The sequence below is a fragment of the Homo sapiens genome, chromosome 11 (assembly GCF_000001405.40).
Source record: "Homo sapiens chromosome 11, GRCh38.p14 Primary Assembly".
Classification (NCBI taxonomy): Eukaryota; Metazoa; Chordata; class Mammalia; order Primates; family Hominidae; genus Homo; species Homo sapiens.
In genome coordinates this window covers 5,956,329-5,979,700 of record NC_000011.10, presented here as the reverse complement: position 1 = coordinate 5,979,700, position 23,372 = coordinate 5,956,329, and the positions used below count along the sequence as shown (strand labels likewise).

The window sequence follows — 23,372 nt, the reverse complement described above, 5'->3', positions numbered from 1 at the left end:
TGAATTTGAGATGCAAAAAACTATACAAAAGATCAATGAAACCAAAACGTTTTTCTTTGAAAGAAAAATTATCAGCTAGGCTAATAATAAAAAAGAGAATATCCAAATAAACACAATCAGAAATGACAAAGAGGACATTACTACTGACTCCACAAAAATACGGAAAGTTTTCAGAGACTATTATGAACATCTCTACAGACACAAATGATAAAACCTAGAAAAAATGGATAAATTCCTGGAACATACGACCTTCCAAGATTAAATGAGGAAGAAATTGAAACCCTGCACAGACCAGTATTGAGTTCCAAATTTGACTCAGTCATAAAAAAAACCTAACAACCAGAAAAAGCCCTAGATCATATGGACTCACAGATGAATTCTTCAAGATGTGTAAAGAAGCGCTGGTGCCAATCCCAGTGAAACTATTCCAAATAATTGAGAAGGAGTGACTTCCCAACTTGTTCTATGAGGCCAGCATCATTTTGATACCAAAGTCTGGCAGAGACACAATGAAAAAAGAAAATTTCAGGCCAATATCCCTAATGAACATAGATGCAAAAATCCTAAAAAAAAAAAAAAAATACTAGCTAACTAAATCCAGCAGCACATCAAAAAGCTAATCCACCATGATCAGATAGGGTTTATTTCTGTGATGCAAAGTTGGTTCAACATATGCAAATCAATAAATGGGGTTCATCTCACAAACAGAACTAAAAACAAAACCATGTAATCATCTCAATAGACAGAAAAGTCTTTTGATAACATTCAACATCCCTTCGTGTTAAAAACCTGCAACAAACTAGGCATCAAAGGAACATCCTTCACAATAATAAAAGCCATCTATGACAAACCCACAGCCAACATCATACTGAATGAGCAAAAGCTGGAAGCACTCCCCTTGACAAATGGAACAAGAAAAGAATGCCCATTCTTACCACTCCTATTCAGCATACTACTGGAAGTCGTGGACAGAGCAATCAGGCAAGAAAAAGAAAGAAAAGGCATCTAAATAGGAAGAGAGGAAGTCAAACTATCTCTCTTCACAGAAGATACCATTCTATATCCAGAAAACCCCATACTCTCTGCCTAAAGGCCCCTAAATCTGATTAAAAAAAACTTCAGCAAATTTCAGGACACAAAATCAATTACAAAAATCAGTACTATTCCTATACACACCAATACTATCCAAGCTGAGAACCAAGTCAAGAATGCAATCCCATTACAATAGCCACAAAAAATAAAAAAATAAAAAACCTAGAAATACAGATAACCAGGAGATAAAATATCTCTACAACCAGAATTACAAAACACTGCTGAAAGAAATTAGAGACAACATAAACAAATGGGAAAACATTCCATGCTCATGGATAGAAACAATCAATATTGTTAAAACATTCCCCATACTGCCCAAAGCAATTTAGAGATTCAATACTATTCTTATCAAGCTACTAATGACATTTTTCACAGAATCAGAAAAAAACTATTGTAAAATTCATATAGAACCAAAAAGAACCTGAATAGCCAAAGTGATCCTAAGCACAAAGAACAAAGCTGGAAACATTACATTACCCAACTTCAAACTGTACTACAGGGCTACAGTAACCAAAAAACATAGTACTGGTACAAAAATAGACACACAGACCAATGGAAAAGATTACAAAACCCAGAAATAATGCTGCATACCTGCAACCAGTTTATCTTCAACAAAGTCAACAATAACAAGCAATGGGGGAAAGTTTCCCTATTCGATAAATGGTGCTGGGATATCTGGCTGCCAAATGCAGAAGATTGAAACTGGACACCTTCCTATCACCACAAAAAATCAACTCAAGATGAATTAAAGACTTGAGTATAAAACTTAAGCTATAAAATCCTATAAGAAAATCTAGGAAATATCATTCTGGATATAGGCCCTGGCAAATATTTTATGATGAAGACTCCAAAAGTAATTGCAACAAATCAAAAATAGACAGGTGGGACTTTGTTAAACAAAAGAACTTTGCACAGCAAAATAAATTATCAATACAGTAAACAGATAACCTACATAATAGGAGAAAATATTTGCAAACTATGCATCTGACTAAGGTCTAATATCAAGAATCCATAAGAAACTTAAATGAATCAACAAGACAAACCCAAACAACCTTATTAAAAAATGAGCAAATGGCATGAACAGACACTTCTCAAAAGAGGACATGCCTGTGGTCAACAAGCATATGAAAAAATACTCAACATCACTAACCATTAAAGAAGTGAAAATCAAAACCACAATGAGATACCATTTTATAGCAGTCAAATGGCTATTATAAAAAGCCAAAAAGTAACAGATAGTGGCAAGATACCAGAGCAATAGGAACACTTATACATTGCTGGTGGGAATGTAAATTAGTTCAGCCACTATGGAAAGCAGTTTGGAGATTTCTCAAAGAACATAGTACAGAACTACAATTTGACTCAGAAATCCCATTATTGGATATATATCCAAAGGAATATATATAGTTCTACGATGAAGATACATGCATTTGAATGTTCATTGGAGCACTATTCACAATAGCAATGATATGGAATCAACCCAGATGCCCATCAACAGTGGGTTGGATAAAGAAAATGTGTTACATATACACCATGGAATACTACACTGCCATAAATGTGAAATCATGTCCTTTGCAGCAACATGGATGCAGCAGGAAACCATTGTCCTTAGTGAGTGAATGCAGGAACAGAAAACCAAATACCACATATTCTGTCTTACAAGCAGGAATGAATATTGAATACAGATGAACACAAAGAAGAGAACAATAGACGCTGGGGCCTACTTGGTGGTGGGTGGCAGAAGGGTGAGGGTCAAAAAACCATCTACGGGGTCCTATGCTCATTACCTGGATGACTAAATAATCTGTACACCAAACCCCTACGACATGAAATTTATCCATGTAACAAACCTGCATATGTATACTCCATGAGCCTAAAATATAAGGTGAAAAAAAAGACAAGCGAAGAGTCAATAAAATAGAAAACAGAAACAATAGAGAAAAATTAACCAATCTCGGCACTGGATTTTTTGAAAAGATTGATAAAATTAATAAAGCCCGAGTAAGAACTATGAAGGAAAAACAATCACAAGTAATCAAAATGATGACTGAACAAGTGTTACTACTACAGATTATACTAGATATTAGAAGGATAGTAAAATAAGTGTTACAAATAACTTTAAGCCAACAAAACACCAATTTATTTATAGATTTTAGGACACAAAAGGTATGTGAATTCCAGCCACCAAACACCGTAAGGAAAGAATTGTGACTGGAAATTCTCAAAAGATAGCTTTTCCTTTCATTTTCCCTTTCTCTTCATCTTTTATTTTCCCTTTCTTTTCTTTTACCCCTTCCTATTTCCCTTCTGTTCTCTTCCCTTCACTTCCTATTCCTTCTCTTTCCTTAAAGTTCCTTTTCTTTTCCTTTTTCTTCTAATCCTTTTTCCTTCCTCCTTCCCTCTTTTTATTCTTTCCCTGTTTTCTGTCTCCCATCCTCCTTCCTTCTCTCCCTTTTCCTCTCCCTCTCCCAGTTCCTTTCCTCCTGCTCCTAGAGACAAGCCCAAGACAACAGGTATCTCTACCATCTTCCTTTCTGGAACTGCCCCCTTTACAGTCACTAAGAGTGTCTTCTTTTTTTTAATTGAAAAACATATTTATTTGGTTTCCTAGTATTTTACTTAAAGTTTCTCTTTGTATTTAGAAAGGAAATTGGTTTGCAGAATGTGGATGTTTCTATATTTCTTTTTTTAAATTTAATATTATTATTATACTTTAAGTTTTAAAAAGTCAGGAAACAACAGGTGCTGGAGAGGATGTGGAGAAATAGGAACACTTTTACACTGTTGGTGAGACTGTAAACTAGTTCAACCATTGTGGAAGTCAGTGTGGCGATTCCTCAGGGATCTAGAACTAGAAATACCATTTGACCCAGCCATCCCATTACTGGGTATATGCCCAAAGGACTATAAATCATGCTGCTATAAAGACACATGCACACGTATGTTTATTGCGGCACTACTCACAATAACAAAGACTTGGAATCAAGCCAAATGTCCAACAATGATAGACTGGATGAAGAAAATGTGGCACATATACACCATGGAATACTATGCAGCCATAAAAAATGATGAGTTCATGTCCTTTGTAGAGACATGGATGAAGCTGGAAACCATCATTCTCAGCAAACTATCGCAAGGACAAAAAACCAAACACTGCATGTTCTCACTCATAGGTGGGAATTGAACAATGAGAACACATGGACACAGGAAGGGGAACATCACACACTGGGGACTGTTGTGGGGTGGGGGGAGGGGGGAGGGATAGCATTAGGAGATATACCTAATGCTAGATGATGAGTTAGTGGGTGCAGCGCACCAACATGGCACATGTATACATATGTGACAAACCTGCACGTTGTGCACATGTTCCCTAGAACTTAAAGAATGTCTTCTTTCACAAGCCCTGGCCTTAAGAGGCTGTCTGATAGGAACTCCTAGCAGGTCCAGGCCCAGGCCCCAGACTTTGTATTTTATCTCCACAATATATGATCTGGACTCTCTCTTTATACTGATGACAGTATACTGAGAAAAAAATACATATTAGTGGAGTAAACAGGCATAAGAGGTAGAACTTTATATTTTACAGTTGGTTCCCAGTAGGAAAAAAGTCTGAAGAGTATATGAGGAGTCATTACCAAAAAGAAAAGTGGAGGACACAAAGAAATCAATCAGTTTCATATAAAATAGTGCAATTGATAGTAACTAACTCATATAGTGCTTACTATAAGCTCAGCACTGTTTTAAGTGCTATTTATATATTGACTCTTTTAATCTTCACAAGCATTCTACAAAATAGGTCACTATTACTATCGTCATATTAAATGTGAAAACTGAGACCCAGAGAGGTAAAGTGATTTGTCCAGAGTACCATGGCTAGTAAGTGATGGTGCTAGGATTTTCACCCAGACAGCCTACAGTCCTTCTCACCATAGGTCCTTGTCCTCCACCTGCCTGTCGTTCTACACACACTGCTGGTGATTTGCATTATTGGGATGCCATTCCATGCTACATTTAATGTTCCATTTTGCCTTGGAAAGTTAGTTATCCACATTCTCATCAATATGTGAATAACCGAATCCTAGCATCTCATGTTAAGTGTCCATTCTTGAGTACCCTTCTGGTACTAACTACTGTACCATTTACAATATGAGCAGGAAACAGACAGTACAGGAAAAGGATTTCACTGACAAGAGTTTAATAAAGAGGCCAGGTGCGGTGGCTCATGCCTGTAATCCTAGCACTTTGAGAGGCCGAGGCGGGCGGATCACGAGGTCAGGAGTTCAAGACCAGCTTGGCCAACATGGTGAAACCCCGTCTCTATTAAAAATACAAAAATTAGCCAGGCGTGGTGGTGGATGCCTGTAATCCCAGCTACTCGGGAGGCTGAGGCAGGAGAATTGCTTGAAACCAGGAGGTGGAAGTTGTAATAAGCCGAGATCGTGCCACTGCACACCAGCCTGGGTGACACGGCAAGACTCCATCTCGAAAAAAAAAAAAAAGAGTTTAATAAAGAGACTATTTATACAGGTCTTGGCAGGGTCAAGGGAATCAATAAGAAGCACGTAGGAGATAGCAACAGCAGGAACTCACTACCAGCCCCAGCCCTGAAGGGCAATGGAGAGGCAGCAACATTCCTCAAACTTAGTAAGCACTGGAGCTTTGGAAGATATGCTTCCCAATAGGACCTCTGGCTACAAAGAAGCAGCCACTAGCAGAACTGTATCAAAGCAAAGGATAGGAATAATAATAAATACCCAATCTTGTCCCTCCATATTTTCATCTCCTTCAGGTGGCTACTATTATCTGAACTGGAAGCCAGGAAGTCATTTCAGAAAGCTCAGTTGAACTAGGCCATAGAGATCAGCCTGCTCAACCACAAAATAGGTCAAAGAATACAAGAGATTTGTGGTCAGATAGAAAATTAAGAACATGCTGGATTAAACCCAACTGTTCGTCTTCTCTGTGGTTGGACCTAGGAGGTGAAGGAAAAAAAAATCAACTGACTGATTTCACTTTAACTTCATAATCACAAACCCCCAAGAGACATTCAACAATGACTATGGCAGGAATAATCATCCACTGAAAAAAGGTGGTTCTAAATACACTGGAGAAGTAAGGAGGAGATAGAGTATGTATGATCTTGAATTAATTCGACAAAAATATGTTGATTCTACCACACTGTAAACACTGTACTAGACATCATATTAATAGGGAACAAAATTAACAGGAATTTAGTCCTCATGAAGCTTACAGTCCAGTTCATATATATTTCTCAGTAGTCCATATTAGGAAAGTTGGTTTTATTTTATGAACAATGGGAAGCTATTGATACTATAATGTAATGCAATTGCCATAATAAAATTTTGATGAGAGCAGGGACCATAATCTCTTATCCCTGTGACTAATCTCATTCTGGACATATAGTTGATAATTTTAAATAAATATTTATTAATGACCGAGATTACATAGAGTAAATTAGCTGTCAAAATTCATACAGATATCAAATAGTGGAGTTGAATTTCAGTTACTATAAAAAGAAGGAAATCTTGTAGGTTTCTTAAGAAATTCTGAAAAGTTTTAATACAAGGAAATCTGTCAATATAACATCTTATGATGTTAATGTAGAATAAGAGAATGTTTAGGAGGATGGTCTGTGTAGTCAAGTAGTCAGATGCAGAATTGAATTCTCTCTCATATTTAAATCCTGTTCCCTGCCGGGCACGGTGGCTCATGCCTGTAATCCCAGCACTTTGAGAAGCCGAGGCAGGCGGATTTCTTGACGTGAAACCCTGTCTCTACTAAAAATACAAAAATTAGCTGGGCGTGGTGGCAGGCGCCTGTAATCCCACCTACTCGGGAGGCTGAGGCAGAAGAATTGCTTGAACCTGGGAGGCAGAGATTGCAGTGAGCCGAAATCGCGCCACCGCACTCCAGCCTGGCTCTCATGGGAACCTTTAACTTAGCTGCTGGGTCCCAGTATCCCAAACTACTGCTCCCAGCTGGCTTGGAGAAGGGGATGGGACAGTGTGAGGAACTGACCGTAGATCATAAAACCCTCTAGATTCGGAAGCAGTCTCAGCTCTGGTTACTGGATGCAGGCAGTAGATTCCTCAAGCAGGACCTAATCTGTTGTATCCTCTGTGAGTTTCAGGGGTAAGGGAGGGGAGCAATGCTGTGTTGGGCCAGGAGACCCTGGGTCACCAGAGGACTCAACAGGAGACTTTCTCCTCATGCTTATATTAATCCCCATGAAAAAAGAAGAAAAAGTCAATGGGCTCTGATACCGAATGCATGAAGATTTAGGAATCCTAGTTTCCTGCTGGAAGCCTCTTCTGCAGTCTCAGCAATCTCATATTATTGCATACAAGGGACCCATGTGTTCTGTGGCTGAGAACTTCATGCATGTGTGCCCAGAAATAGCAATCTAGGGATTTAAAAGAGGAAAAGAATGGTTCTGGGACAGCATTTTGAGTTTATTATGACACAAGTCCAAGAGGCTTAGGGCAAAAGCTGGTGAGGAAATGTGCTCATTGCCTTCTCCCAACAAGTTCCAGTGTTAATGAGAGAAAAAGCTTCCTCTCATTATTAGACATGATTTATAGCCAGCAGAAACAGACTTCCTTGTGACTTTTTTTCCCTAATAGCCCTAGTTTTTTCTTCTTCCCCTTGAAGGTCAGTCATATATTTTGGAAGGCTTCACTTGGTTAAAATATCTACTTCTTGTAATGAGCTTTTAGTATCTTCTTTATCCTGGGTACTTTTTTCTGTGTAGTACAGTTTCAGAAGTGGTCCCTAAATCAAGGTGCATTGAATTGGACACAATATTCAAAGCATAGTTGAACAAAAGCAAAGCAGAGTAAAAGTTATCCATTTCTCTCTGATCACTGTTACTTCTGTTAGTGCAGTGTTCCTTTATAATAGTTGTTAACAATATATCAAAAGTTTGATTCATATTTATGTCTATAACTCCATCTGACAGTATGTTCAGGTATCTAACCGCTTTTTCTCTACTCCCATTCCTCGTCATACCCTCCTCTCTTATCCTTTATACTAAGTACAGTCTTCTTAGTAAAATCCAGGTAGCAGAGGAGGAATTGAATCAGATAATTCTCCACAATGTGAGGGAGGAATGAGGACTTGAAGAGGATGGATCAGAGTCTGGGAATTGTAAAGCACAATCGTAGATGGGGACTACACATAAGAGGCAGGAAAAAGCACAAGTTAAGGAAAGAATCTTTCAGCGACAGTGGACTAAGGAAAAGAAAATGAGCAGAGGGTGAGAAATGAGAATATTTTAGGGTGTTGGGATATTTTCTGCCTTGGTGGATTGCAAGATCTCTAAGACATTCTCTTCATTTGGAGGAAATACAAGGTAGTTTGGTGGTGCTGTATGTATGAAGGCAATGACCTAGTAGGTCAGTGGGGTGAATCAGGAGTATCCCTCCCACCAAGTGTCAGGCTTTGGGGCCAGAGGGCACTAAAAGTGAATGACTTGTTTAAGATTCCCCAAGCTTCCCCAAGAGCTTTGTGCTGTCACTGTCTCTACCTCTGGCCCACAGCTCATTCAGCTATTATCTTGAGCTTCTCCTCGTGGCTTGCCTCAATTTCCACATCAGTTCCCTTTGTTTCTTTGGTTAATATTTTCCTTTTTTATTTTTTCTTATTTCAGTCTTTAAAAGTCAACAGCCTTCCCCAAATTAAGACATTTACCTCACAAGCATTTATTAAGAATTACTAAGCTCTGGATACTGTAAAAACAACATGAAATAAAAAGAGAAAATACATTATATGTACTTCAGAGATTTTATAGTGGATTCGGGAGAGAAAGGAGAGAAAGTTAGGCAGTGGTGTGATTTGTGCAGTATTTAAATGGAAATAGTAGTTGTCTCCCCAGGGCTGTTGCTTTATCTTTTTTTTTTTCCTTTTTATCACCAATATTTTTCTTCCTAGTCTTTTGCCCCTCAGTTTAAATGTATTCACATTGCTTTTTGTAAAAAAAAATCTATGCATTAATACATACTGTTCTACCTGTGCATTCAGTTTTCCCTCCATGTGAAGCTGTTTGTTGAAGTGAAGATTTCCAATGAGGTGATCAGTCCTCCCTGTGTCCATTCATTCCAGTCCTGCTGGCTCCCTGTCCTCCCGCATTCTATTTCTCTCTTCACATGAAACTGTTTGCTAGGACCACCAATGATTACCTAATTGCCAAATGCAATGGATAATCTCTTTCTCACATTACTGAAACTCTTCATGTGAGCATATCTGTCCACTCCATTTGATTTTCAATTATGTCTCTGTTCATTCCTTTTAGGTCTCCTTGCAATCTCTTTACCTCTTTTGCTCTTTTTGTCTTTAATTTATATATTCTCCATAAGTATATCTATTTAAAGTCCTATGGTTTGAACTATATGTTATGTGTTGATGATTTCCAATTCTTTAACTTTCAAATGAATTTAAATTGCTTTCTCTAACATTTTATTTCACATGTATTTTGATAGTTTACAGATCCAATAAACTCAACACGTCAAAACTGGATCCATAATCTCTGCCTCCACAACATATATCAAATCTTTTCAAAGGCTATTTTTTGTTTCGTGAAACTTTCTTAGTCATTTGAGTCAGAACAGATAGTGCAGTCTTAGAATTCTACCCTCTCTTCTTCTACGCAACTAGTCTCACTGTCTTTATATCACTATCATTATATTTATACCTCTAAAATATGCCCATTTTTCTCATCCTCAGAGCTATTTATTCACACAGTGATCACTTCTCAATTGGACTACTGAAGCCAACAGTCACTTGTCCCCTTTTAGATGTCCTTTGCCTCCTCTGGTCCTTTAAGTTTGGGTGTGAAATAGGAAGAATAAATAGATTAGTATTTTTCTCCAAAAAATGAAACCATGGTCTTTATCCAAATGAGGATGTGGGATAGATGAAGAAAATAATTAAGATATGAGAGACTTGAACATTTTGAATATCCATGGGAAGGATTTAGGAAGGGTTGAATACATAGGCAATGGGCTGGATAATCCATAAGTCAGGGTTCCTAAAAAGGTCAAGGTGAATGGAATCAAATTGTGAGGTCAAGGATTGCCATTCAGAGAAGGGATAGAGCCTCGATTCTGCTGGTGCAATAAGGAGAGCAAGGATGTAGATGCTGATGAGTTTATGAGTCTATCATGGGAAGTAGAGGACTTGCATCTGATGTTTCTACTGTCTTTATGAAGCAGTTAGAGAGGTTATCTGAGAGAAGAGGAGATTTAGTATTTGAAAATAATAGAAAATATGGAAAATTGCTTGAAGCAGATAGAGGAATGAATTAACCAGAGAAGGTTATTGTCATGAATATGTGTGTTAAGTTCTCATTTTAGGTTAGTGGTTATAAATGTTAATGAAAACAGCATAACCTTTGAGCCTATCTTTCTATAGGAACATTGAATTGCACTTGTGCAGGCTTGGATTAAATATGTCTAGGATGGGTTGTGACACAGTACCATATGTCAGAGTGATAGGGAGTTTGGGAGTTCCTCTATATATTTAATCAATATTTGCTTTTATTTTCCTCAGGTTTGTAATAGGGTTGGGAGTATATTATATATTTTTTCCATCTCAAATGTACTTTGGTGTGTAATAAAAAGAGAGGAATAATTATTTTCCCCCATCTAACAAATTATGCACTACTTACTGAAAGGACCCTGCAATTAAATTATTTTATGACATATTTATTAATTCTAGATTACTCTGTAAACTTATGAGTGTTTCTAGCCTGTGGATCTATAATTATTCAATTTGCTTTGTCAGTATAATTTGGAATTTTTTTTGTATTTTACAGTATGTTTTAATGAGGTTTTTTTAAATCATTTTCCTTCTAAACCTTTGTCTAGTCTATTTGCTTTTCTAAATTAACTTCAGAAATAATTTACTAAACCTTTCACTATTTATGTTAATATTTACTAAACTTTGCCTTCATTTGGGATTGGTCATCTGTATCTCATACATTTTATAAATTAGAAAATGTTAGCAAATATTTTAACAGCTTTGTTTTCTATTTCTAATTCCTGTGTCTTATCAAACACAATTTCAGGTGAAATTTTCTCAGCTGAGGATTTATTTCATGACATTACCCAGCAACAACTCCACTTCCCCAGTCTTTGAATTCTTCCTCATTTGTTTCCCCAGTTTCCAGAGCTGGCAGCACTGGCTGTCTCTGCCCCTCAGCCTCCTCTTCCTCCTGGCCATGGGGGCCAATGCCACCCTTCTGATCACCATCTATCTGGAAGCCTCTCTGCACCAGCCCCTGTACTACCTGCTCAGCCTCCTCTCCCTGCTGGACATCGTACTCTGCCTCACCGTCATCCCCAAGGTCCTGGCCATCTTCTGGTTTGACCTCAGATCAATCAGCTTCCCTGCCTGCTTCCTTCAGGTGTTCATCATGAACAGTTTTCTGACTATGGAGTCCTGCACATTCATGATCATGGCCTATGACCGCTATGTGGCCATCTGCAAGCCCCTACAGTACTCATCCATCATCACTGATCAATTTGTCGCTAGGGCTGCCATCTTTGTTGTGGCCAGGAATGGCCTTCTTACTATGCCTATCCCCATACTTTCTTCTCGACTCAGATACTGTGCAGGACACATCATCAAGAACTGCATCTGTACTAACGTGTCTGTGTCTAAACTCTCTTGTGATGACATCACCTTGAATCAGAGCTACCAGTTTGTTATAGGTTGGACCCTGCTGGGCTCTGACCTCATCCTTATTGTTCTCTCTTACTTTTTTATCTTGAAAACTGTGCTAAGGATTAAGGGTGAGGGAGATATGGCCAAAGCTCTAGGTACTTGTGGTTCCCACTTCATCCTCATCCTCTTCTTCACCACAGTCCTGCTGGTTCTGGTCATCACTAACCTGGCCAGGAAGAGAATTCCTCCGGATGTCCCCATCCTGCTCAACATCCTGCACCACCTTATTCCCCCAGCTCTGAACCCCATTGTTTATGGTGTGAGAACCAAGGAGATCAAGCAGGGAATCCAGAACCTGCTGAGGAGGTTGTAAAAAATAAAATGAATGCAACCTGACCTTGAAAACAGAAATTGATATTGGAGAATAATTGTTATGATGCATAGAAAATTTAAATTGTTACTGCGAGAATAAGTTTAGACTTGGCTTTCTTCAGTGTTTCAATTGATTATAGGGATATCTACTCGTTGGATCCTGCTTTCTGTTTCACTGACTGGAATCTTAGTGTTTTGGCATTCTAGAATTGTTTGGAAGTTTTTCTTGACTTCATCTATGTGAGTACGAATTGACAAGCCATAATCACTGGAGCTTAGAATTGTATGGTTTTCAAACAAAGGATAAATATAATTCCAATTATTTTAAATGTTTCTCAATTCCTGTATTGTTTAATACATACATATGTGTTAGATGTCTTGGTTTTCCCTGACTCAGCTCAACGTGAATAATTTTTTTTTTTTTTGCCATGAATGGATCTCTTGTGGACATATAGATGTTGACTCAAGAACTTTGATTCTTATGTAGAGTGAATAACATGTGACATTCACTGCCTCCTCTGTCCTTGACAGATCTTGTTAATATTTTTATCTAATGCTACTTATTTGGAGTGTGAATTTCTTATAGTTTTTTTTCCTAGTGATTTTTACATCTTAAAATGACTCATATTTATGTGTGTGTGTGTGTGTGTGTGTGTGTGTTGCTTTAAGTGAATCTGTGTGTCCTTTTTTAAGATATATTTTACCAACTTCTGACTTCATACTATCCTACCTGACTTTTCCATCAGATTTCTGACACCATCTTATTCCTACTCTTTCCTATTTGTCTTAGATATACAGTTAAACCGTCTTTCTCATCCTACTTTCAGTCCTCTTGTCTCAATCTTCATGTCCTGTCCCTGGCCAGCATAGCTTCCCATAGGATCCAGACATCTGAATTAGTGAGTTTTTAGAACAAGGATAAGTATGTTTTACACTTTGCAATTTTTATCCTGATCATGCTCTGATCAGTATATAGGTAGGACCTATATACTGACCAATATTTCCTGGGATTAAGTAACATTTAGTAGCTAGGCCCCTTTTTGGTTAGTAATAGAGCACTTCATAGATATTATTTTTGAATCATTTCGGAATGTCTCCTAATCTATGATAATCAAATTATTCTTGGAAGACTTATAAGTCAGTTTATCTTTTCTTTTCTTGTTTCTTTTTTTGAGATAGGGAGACAGGGTCTTACTCTATCGCCCAGGCTGGAGTTCAGTGCCATGATCTTGGCTCACTGCAACCTCTGTCTCCCAGGCTTAAGTGATTCTCCCACCTCAGCCTCCCAAGTAGCTGGGACTACAGGTGTGCACCACCATGCCCGGTTTTTTTTTTTTTTTTTTTTTGTAGAGACGGGGTTTCACCATGTTGCTGAGGTTGGTCTTGAACTCCTGGGCTCAAGCGATCCACCTGCCTCAGCCTCCCAAAGTGCTGTGATTACAGGTGTGAGTCACCACGACTGGCCCAATTTATTATTTCTATAGTATTGTCTTTCACCAAAACAATAGTTTTGATTTCTATCTTCCCTCCTTCTCAACTTCAAAGACTGATCCTAATCAAAATACAAAATTTTTCACTCTTCTGTTTACCTATCATGCAGGTCAGCTCCCAGCTCATTTTTTTTAACATTATGTCCCTCCTATATGTTTTTCTTAAAGTCTGTGTTCCAGTATCCTCTTCCACATAAAAAACAACACCACTCTTTTCATTTGGAAAATTATGCCCATCTTATGAGTCTCAGTTTAAACTCCACCTACTCCACAAACCCATCCTTTATTTACCCCAATGGAATTAATCTGACCTTCTTGAGTCATGTGTGTATCTCCCTTTGGTAGTAGATTATAAACTCCTCTGAGTCTGGTGAAGAGTTTTATTCATCTCTTCAACTTTGTATATTCTAGAGCTTTAATATAATGCTTTACATATTTAGTTATTTTGATGAATAAAAGTGAATATTATGTGTGCACATCTTCTTATTTTTTTCTTATTTTCCCTTCTTAGGGAAAGAATCAAATTATTAATATAATGTATTCTCCAAAGATACTTACAAAAAGCCTTATATAACTCACAGTTCAATGCAATCTTACCTACCATAGAACCTAAGCCTGCTTATTGGGATAACACTGATTTTTATTTATGTTCCAGGCATACTGATTTGGCCACGGGTAAGATGTGTTACTTTTGACTCACCAATCTCAATATGAGTTCTAATTTTCTCATTTAAGAAGAGTAATAATTAATTATCCCCTTACTATTTGATTTCTGTTTGCTGGATAAACTGGATGACCTAATTTATAAAACATTTTTTAACCAGAGCCTAAAACATGCTGTTAACTTACATGTGGAGACTAATTTTATTATTTTCTAATGCACGTTGATTTCTCAAATGTCTTCTTTTTATTTGGGAGGAAAGTGGAGCAAAATATTGGAATAGGATTCTCTAGTGACCATTCTCCTATAAGAACATGGGAAATGGATAATTTTTTCCTCCCATAGGAAATGGATAATTTGAACAATTATCCATGCATTAAATACCTTTACAAGAGCTAAGAAAACCAGGTGAGTGATCACAGTACCTGGTTTTAAGATAATGATAAGAAAAGACACATTGAAGAAGGTAGGAAGGACAATTTTACCTTACACGTTACCCCTCCCCCAACATCAGGGAACAGTGCAAAGAGAGAGATACTATCTTAGGGGAAAGACACATAAGTAAGCATTGGACTTTGCTTGGACCTCAATCCTGGGCCATGCCACAGTTAAACCCAGCACCAGAGAGACCTACATGCCAATATCTGTAAACTGAACCTCTAGGTCTGCCTCAGTGCCAGATAGAAACCCGTAGCCATGTGTGAGATGGACTTGAATTCTGGCCTGCATCACCACTGGCTGACTATAGTAGCCTTGGACTCCAAATAACCCATAACTACATGCAGATCTGAATGGCCATGAGTTTGGGTGCACCCCAATGCTGTGCCAGCCTCAGAAGGGACCACTGAATTCTAGCCTGGCACTATACCAGCCTCAGAAGCCATGGAATTCCAACCCACTGCTGCACTGGCCAGTGCAGATCATAGGCTTAGAGTACCCCCAGGTCTTCAATGACTGCAGGGATTACAGGCTTAGGGACCACACCAGATGACTGGTTCAAAATCTCTGGACAGGCTTATTGTTGAAAAATATTCCCAGACAAAGCAATACTGTGATGACTGATATAACTACCTACCTTTTCAATGGGCAGACATCAACTTATAACCATAAGGATCAAGAGCAATCTGGGAAGCATGACATCACCAAATGGACAAAGTAAGGTGCCAGCAATTGCCCCTGAAGACATGGAGATGTATAAATTGAGTGATAACAAATACAAAACAGCTATTTTATGGAAGCTTAATAAACTTTAATAAAATACACAGAAACGATTCAAGAAAATAAGGAAAATAATAAGTAACCAAAATAAAAAATATTACAAAGAAATTGAAAGAATAATATAAAAATCAATCAGAAATGCTGAGCTGAATATTACAATGAATAAAATGAAAAATATAATAGAGCATCAACAACAGAATTGCTGAAGCAGAAGAAAGAATCTGTAGACAGAAAGGTTATTGAAAAGTAGGTTATTGAAAAATATATAGACAGAGGAGAAAAAAAGAACTAAAAAGAATAAAGAAAGCTTATGGGGTTTATGGGATAGCATCAAAAGATGAAATGTACAATGTACAAGTTATTGGCATTCAAGAGTGAGTAGAGAAAGATAAAAGGGTAGAAATATTATTTAAAGGAACAATAGCAAAATACTTTCCAAACCCAGGGAAAGATATAAATATCTAGGTAAAAGAAGATCAAGATCACCAATGAGATTCAATACACCTAAGACTACTCCAAGACATATTATAATAAAACTGTCAAAGCTCAGACAAAAAGGGGATCTTGAAAGCAGCAAGAGAAAATAAGCAAATAACATATAAAGAAGCTCCAATATGTCTAGCAAGTCTTCTCAGCAAAAACCTTACAGGCCAGGAGAAAGTAGAATGATATATTCAAAGTGCTGAGTGAAAAATATATTTAAAAAAAAACACCAAAAAATCTGCCAACCAGGAATACTATACCTAGCAAAGCTCTCCTTCAAAAATGAAGGAGAGATAAAGACTCCCAGACAAATAAGGGCTGAGGGAATTCATTACTACAGACCTGTGGGATACAGAAAAAGCAGTTCTAAGAGGAAGGCTATAGCAATAAACACATACATGAATAAAGAAAAAGCATCTCAAATAAACAACCTAATGTTGCACCTCAAGGAAATAGAAAAATAAAAGCAAACTAAACCCAGTATTAACACAAAGAAGAAAATATTACAGACAATAGCAGAAATAATAAAATGTAGGCTAGAAAAATATATAAAAGATCAACAAAATGGAGGTTTTTTAAAATGATAAAATTAACAAGCCTTTAGCTAAACTAAGAAAAAAGAGAAAAGACTTAAATAAGATCAGAGATGAAAAGGGGGACACTGCAACTGATATCGCAGAAATACAAAGTATCATGAGAAATGATTCTGATCAACTACACACCAACAAATTAGTTAATCTCGAAGAAATTGAAGCATTTTTGGACACATAAAACCTACAGGAACCTATGAAGAAATAGAAAATGTTAACAGACCAATAATGAGTAATGAAATAAAGATAGTAGTAGAAGTATCTCACTAAAGAAAAGCCCAGACGGTGGCTCACGCCTGTAATCCCAGCACTTTGGGAGGCCGAGGCGGGTGAATCATGAGGTCAGGAGATCGAGACCATCCTGGCTAACAAGGTGAAACCCCATCTCTACTAAAAATACAAAAAATTAGCCGGGCGCGGTGGCAGGCGCCTGTAGTCCCAGCTACTCGGGAGGCTGAGGCAGGAGAATGGTGTGAACCCGGGAAGCGGAGCTTGCAGTGAGCCGAGATTGCGCCACTGCAGTCCGCAGTCTGGCCTGGGCGACAGAGAGAGACTCCGTCTCAAAAAAAAAAAAAAAAAAGAAAAGCCCAGAATCTGATGGCTTCACTGATGAATTATACCAAACATTTAAAGAAGAACTAACATCAATTCTTCTCAAGCTATTCCAAAAAATTAAAGAGGAGAGAATTCTCCAAAATTCATTGTAAGAGGTCAGCATTACCGGGATACCAAAACTAGATGAGAACACGCACACACAAAGAAAACTACAGGCCAACATCCCTGATGAAAATGGATGCAGAAATCTTTAAAAACATTAGCAAACTGAATTCAATAATACATTAAAAGACCATTTACCACAATCAAGTGAGATCCAATCCAGAGATGCAAGAATAAATGCTAACCAACATATGCAAATCAATTAAATGTAATACATCACATTAACAAAATGAAAAACAAAAATCATCGAATCATTTCACTATGTAGAAAAATCATTTGGCAAGACTTAAACTCCATTTATGATAAAAACTTAATAAATTAGGTATAGAAGAAGTTTACCTCAACATAATAAAGGTTACATATGGCAAATTCACAGCTAGCATATTCAACAAGGAAAATTAGAAGCTTTTTCTCCGAGATCTGGAACAAGACAAGGATGCCCACTTTCACCCCTTCTCTTTACTAATATTGGAAGTCTTAGCATGAGCAATTAGGCAAGAGAAAAATAAAAGGCATGCAAATTGGAAAGAAAGAAGTTAAATTGTCCCTATATGGAAACAACATAATGGTGTTAAAATGTCCATACCACCCAAAGTTATATATAGAGTCAATGCAATCGCTTTCTTTTTTTTTTTTTTTTTTAAGTATTTATTGATCATTCTTGGGTGTTTCTCGGAGAGGGGGATTTGGCAGGGTCATAGGACAATAGTGGAGGGAAGGTCAGCAGATAAACATGTGAACAAAGGTCTCTGGTTTTCCTAGGCAGAGGGCCCTGCCGCCTTCCTCAGTGTTTGTGTCCCTGGGTAGTTGAGATTAGGGAGTGGTGATGACTCTTAACGAGTATGCTGCCTTCAAGCATCTGTTTAACAAAGCACATCTTGCACCGCCCTTAATCCATTTAACCCTGAGTGGACACAGCACCTGTTTCAGAGAGCACAGGGTTGGGGGTAAGGTCATAGATCAACAGCATCCCAAGGCAGAAGAATTTTTCCTAGTACAGAACAAAATGGAGTCTCCTATGTCTACTTCTTTCTATACAGACACAATAACAATCTGATCTCTCCTTCCTTTCCCATTTCCCCCTTTTCTATTGGACAAAACCGCCATTGTCATCATGGCCCGTTCTCAATGAGCTGTTGGGTACACCTCCCAGATGGGGTGGCGGCCGGGGAAGAGGGGCTCCTCACTTTCCAGACGGGGTGGCCGGGCAGAGGGGCCCCCCACCTCCCAGACTGGGCGGTGGCCGGGCGGGGGCTGCCCCCCACCTCCCGGACGGGGCGGCTGGCCGGGCGCGGGCTGCCCCCCAGCTCCCGGATGGGGCGGCTGCCGGGTGGAGGGGCTCCCCAATTCCCAGACGGGGGGCGGCTGCCGGGCGGAGGGGCTCCTCACTTCTCAGATGGGGCGGCCGGTCAGAGACGCTCCTCACCTCCCAGACAGGGTGGCGGTGAGGCAGAGACACTCCTCAGTTCCCAGACAGGGTCACGGCCGGGCAGAGGCACTCTTCACATCTCAGACGGGGCGGCGAGGCAGAGGCGCTCCCCACATCCCAGATGATGGGCAGCCGGCCGGGCAGAGACGCTCCTCACTTCCTAGATGGGATGACGGCCGGGAAGACGCATTCCTCACTTCCCAGACTGGGCTGCCGGGCAGAGGGGCTCCTCACATCCCAGACGATGGGCAGCCAGGCAGAGACGCTCCTCACTTCCTAGACGGGGTGGCGGCCGGGCAGAGGCTGCAATCTCAGCACTTTGGGAGGCCAAGGCAGGCGGCTGGGAGGTGGAGGTTGTAGCGAGCCGAGATCACGCCACTGCACTCCGGCCTGGGCAACATTGAGCACTGAGTGAGCGAGACTCCGTCTGCAATCCCGGCACCTCGGGAGGCCGAGGCTGGCAGACCACTCGCGGTCAGGAGCTGGAGACCAGCCCGGCCAACAGGGCGAAACCCGGTCTCCACCAAAAAATACGACAACCAGTCAGGTGTGGCGGTGCGCGCCTGCAATCCCAGGCACTCGGCAGGCTGAGGCAGGAGAATCAGGCAGGGAGGCTGCAGTGAGCCGAGATGGTGGCAGTACAGTCCAGCCTCAGCTGGGCATCAGAGGGAGACCATGCAAAGGGGAGACGAGGACCGTGCAAAGGGGAGAGGGAGAGGGAGGGGGAGGGGGAGAGGGATGCAATCTCTTTCAAAGTACCAACGACAGTCTTCACAGAAATAGAAAATTCTAAAATTCATATGGAACCCCAAAAGATACTGAATAGCCACAGCAATCTTGAGAAAGAAAACAAAAATGAAGGCATCACACTTCCTTATTTTAAACTATGCTACAAAGCCATAATAATCAAAACAGTACGGTACTGGCATAAAAACAGGCATATAGACCACTGGAGCAGAATAGGGAGCTCAGAAATAAATCTATTCATTTAAAATCTATGATTTTCAACAAAGATGCCAATAACACACAATGAGGAAAAGGAGATTTTTCAATAAATAGTATCGGAAAAACTGAATATCCATATTCAGAAGAATCAAATTAGACCCTTATCTCTCACCATCTACAAAATTCAGCTCAAAATAAACTAAAGACTTAAATATGAGAACCCAAACTCTGAAACTACTAGAGAAAACATAAGAGAAACATCCCACAGCATTGATCTGGGCAATGATTATTTAGATGTGACCTCAAAAGCATAGAAAACAAAAGTAAAAATAGACAAATGGTATTACTAAACTAAAAAGTTTTGTACAGCAAAGAAAGCAATCAATAGAGTGAAGAAACAATCTTCCCTTAACAGAATGAAGAGCTAAATGGAAGAAAGTATTTGTGAAATATATATCTGATAAAGATTAATGTTTAAAATATATAAGGAACTCTGACAATTCAATAGCAAGGAAACAAATAATAAAAAACAGGCAAAATATCTGAGTAGACATTCTCAAAAGAAGACAGAAAAATGACCAACAGGTATAAGAAAGAAATGCTTAATATCAGTAATCATCAGGGAAATGCAAATCAAAACCATGATGAGATGTCACCTTACTCCTTTGAGAATGACTATTATAAAAACAAAAAGGAAAACAAAACAGCAACAACAAAAAAACCACAAAAAATAGCAAATATTGGTGGAGATGTGGAGAAAAGGAATGCTTACACACTGTTGGTGGGAATGTAAATTAGTAAAGCCATTGTGGAAAACAGGACAGAAGTTCCTTGAAACATTAAATAGAACTGCCATATGATCTAGCATTCCCACTACTGGGTATATATCCAAAGGAAAGAAAATCATATGTTGAAGAGATAGCTGCTGTCTCATGTTTTTTGCATCACTATTCACAATAGCCAACCTATGGAATTAACCTATGTGTTCATCCATAGATTAATGAAAATAAAATGTGGTATGTATATTTAATGAAATACTATTCAGCCACAAAAATAATGGAATCTTCTCACTTGCGACAACATGTATGAGCCTGGAAGGCATTATGTTAAGTGAAATAAGCCAGACACAGGAAGACAAACATTACATTTTCTCATTTATATGTGGAATCTAAAAAAGCTGATCTTGTAGAGACTAGAAGGCTATTACCACAAATGAGGTGATCAGGGAGGAGGAGGGCATTAGAAGAGTGATTGGTCAAAGGATACATAATTGCAATTAGATAGAAAAAATAAGTCCAAGAGATCTATTGTACAGCATGTTGACTATAGTTAATAATGATATAATACATTGTATTGTTGAAAAGCCCAAAGAGAGTGGAGGTCATGCCATAGTCAACATAAAAATAACTATTTGAAGTAATGCATTTGTTAACTAGCTAGATTCAAGCATTTTATAATGCATATATACTTCAAAACATCCTGTTGTACATGAAAAATACATACACTGTCCATTTTAGAAAGACTGCTTTTATTCTTATTACTTGTAATAAGTGAACAATAAAAAACAGAAAAGTAGAGGATATTCATTATTTTATACATCATTCACTTCAGAGAGGTAACAGCCCTACTCCATGTGTCATTCTTAGTCTCCAGTGGAATTTCTCGTGTAGCCTCTTTTATAAAATCCTTTCCTATTTGAGTCTCATGGTGTTATGCTATGGCACCCTCAGTTGTTCCTTGTTTGCAGTCATCTATTAAAATCTTAGTTTTGCTGCCTCATATCAGATGTTGACAGTTGGCTTATAGTCTAGTTGGAATCAATGCAGACTAAAAGTACTGTTCTTCAAAATAAAAGATTATAGGCTATCCATGAAGAGATAATAGAAAAAAAAGAGATCTCAAATCAACCATTGAGGGATGGATGCTCACAGATTTGCTACATATACCTCTACAATTTGTCATGTCATTATCACTATTTCCTTCTCTTTTTTGAAATTGGACAGTTTTAAATTATTTACAATTTCTCTTGAAACACACAAAAATACTTAGAAGGTTGTCCACATTGGCCACCACTTTTCTGATTTCTGGATAACTAGAATTTCATATTTATAGGACTTTTAAAACTCATCAAATCTAGAACTCTCTTGGAATTTTCTCTAAGGATTCTTTGCTAAATAGATATCCAAGATTTGCTTAAATCCCACTAGTGACAAGAAACTGTCTTCTAGCACTTGGAAGAGAAAACCTGCTTCTCTTTAAAAAAAAGTTTTAAAAATCTTTAAAAAAATGTTTCTTTCACTTATTTGCAACTCTTATTTGGGCCCATATGGAAAACACTTTCTGGAATTAAAATTCCAGTGGTAGCCTGAGTAAGTTTTAGCAATGTCTCATTTAGAATCTTGCGGGCTTCAGAGCTCTGCAAGAGGTATATTGCTCATGTCCTTTTCTAAATAGTTTCCTATTCTCCAATGATGTGCTTTCTCCGTTATCTTGTAAATTCTATTAAGTTACAAGATAGTGGAGAAACCACATCACCGGGGAATAGGAAGCTATTCCCCTATATGTTTTCACTCACTGTTTAATTTTATACTGAGTCAAGAAAAATAACAAAACATAAAAGATTTTTAGTAAATGCTTATGAGATAGATTAAGAAAGTATAAAATGCAGTAGAATGGGAGAATAGAATGACACATGGAATGATGTATACAGTATAACAATGTGGCAGCAGTATAAGTTATAGTAGGATAGACTCCTAAATATTTGATATTCTTCTGTTAAACACTCCAGTGCATAAAGTTTTAAGATACTCTGTGAGAAGTGCTATAAGCCACTAATTTGTCTTTCTCTATTTATTTATTTATTTATTTTTGAGATGCAGTTTCACTTTTGTTACCCAGGCTGGAATGGAATTGTGCGATCTCAGCTCACTGCAATCTCTCCCAGGTTCAAGCGATTCTCCTGCCTCAACCTCCTGAGTAGCTGGTATTACAGGCATAAGCCACCATGTCTGGCTAATTTTTTATTTTTAGTGGAGATGAGTTTCACCGTGTTGGTCAGGCTGGTCTCGAACTCCTGACCTCAGGGAATTGCCTGCCTCGGCCTCCCAAAGTGCTGGGATTACAGGCGTGAGACACCGCGCCAGGCCTCTCTTTATATTTAAATATACACACATCTCCTTCATTTTTGGAAGTGTGTAGAAATATGTGTAGGCTTAGGCAGGTAGGTATGTTTGTGCAGGTACAATATTTCAGAAAGTGGAGATCACGAGGACAGGAAACCCAAAACATCTTTGTATCTTTTGACCTATGGGAGAAGCAATACTGTGATTGTGAAATTTTGTGAACTCCAAACATGAGCATAAAGCAGTGAGAAGTTGAGGAGTCACATTGGCTTCTCAACAATGAACTTAATAAGACATTAGCTTGGAGAAAACATTGTATAGGCACCTCTGTGAAACACCTATTTAAAGGCTTAGCAGAAATAATACTTTGTTTTATAGTTGTTGTTTCATTGCTTGTATAACAGAATGCACTCCCTAGATATTGGTCTTTCAGGACTCAAAGACACTGACGTGAGAAAGACATAATTGTGTTAGGATGTCTGTGAGTCAACCCAAAACATGTAAAGTGCAGCTCAGATCTACACCTAGAGAGGAGACTGCCAGTACTCATTTAATTTTACATAAACACAC

At 38.5% G+C, this 23,372-nt stretch overlaps 2 protein-coding genes across 2 annotated transcripts in view; one reads left to right on the top strand and one right to left on the bottom strand.

The window, feature by feature from the left end:
• The window catches only part of OR56A3 (olfactory receptor family 56 subfamily A member 3), a 79,760-nt gene that overhangs the window by 42,310 nt on the left and 14,078 nt on the right, over window positions 1-23,372 (bottom strand). The window lies entirely within an intron of this gene.
• Window positions 11,207-12,148, top strand: OR56A5 (olfactory receptor family 56 subfamily A member 5). Its single transcript, NM_001146033.1, has one exon. It carries the CDS (start codon window positions 11,207-11,209, stop codon window positions 12,146-12,148), a length of 942 nt encoding a protein of 313 aa, NP_001139505.1.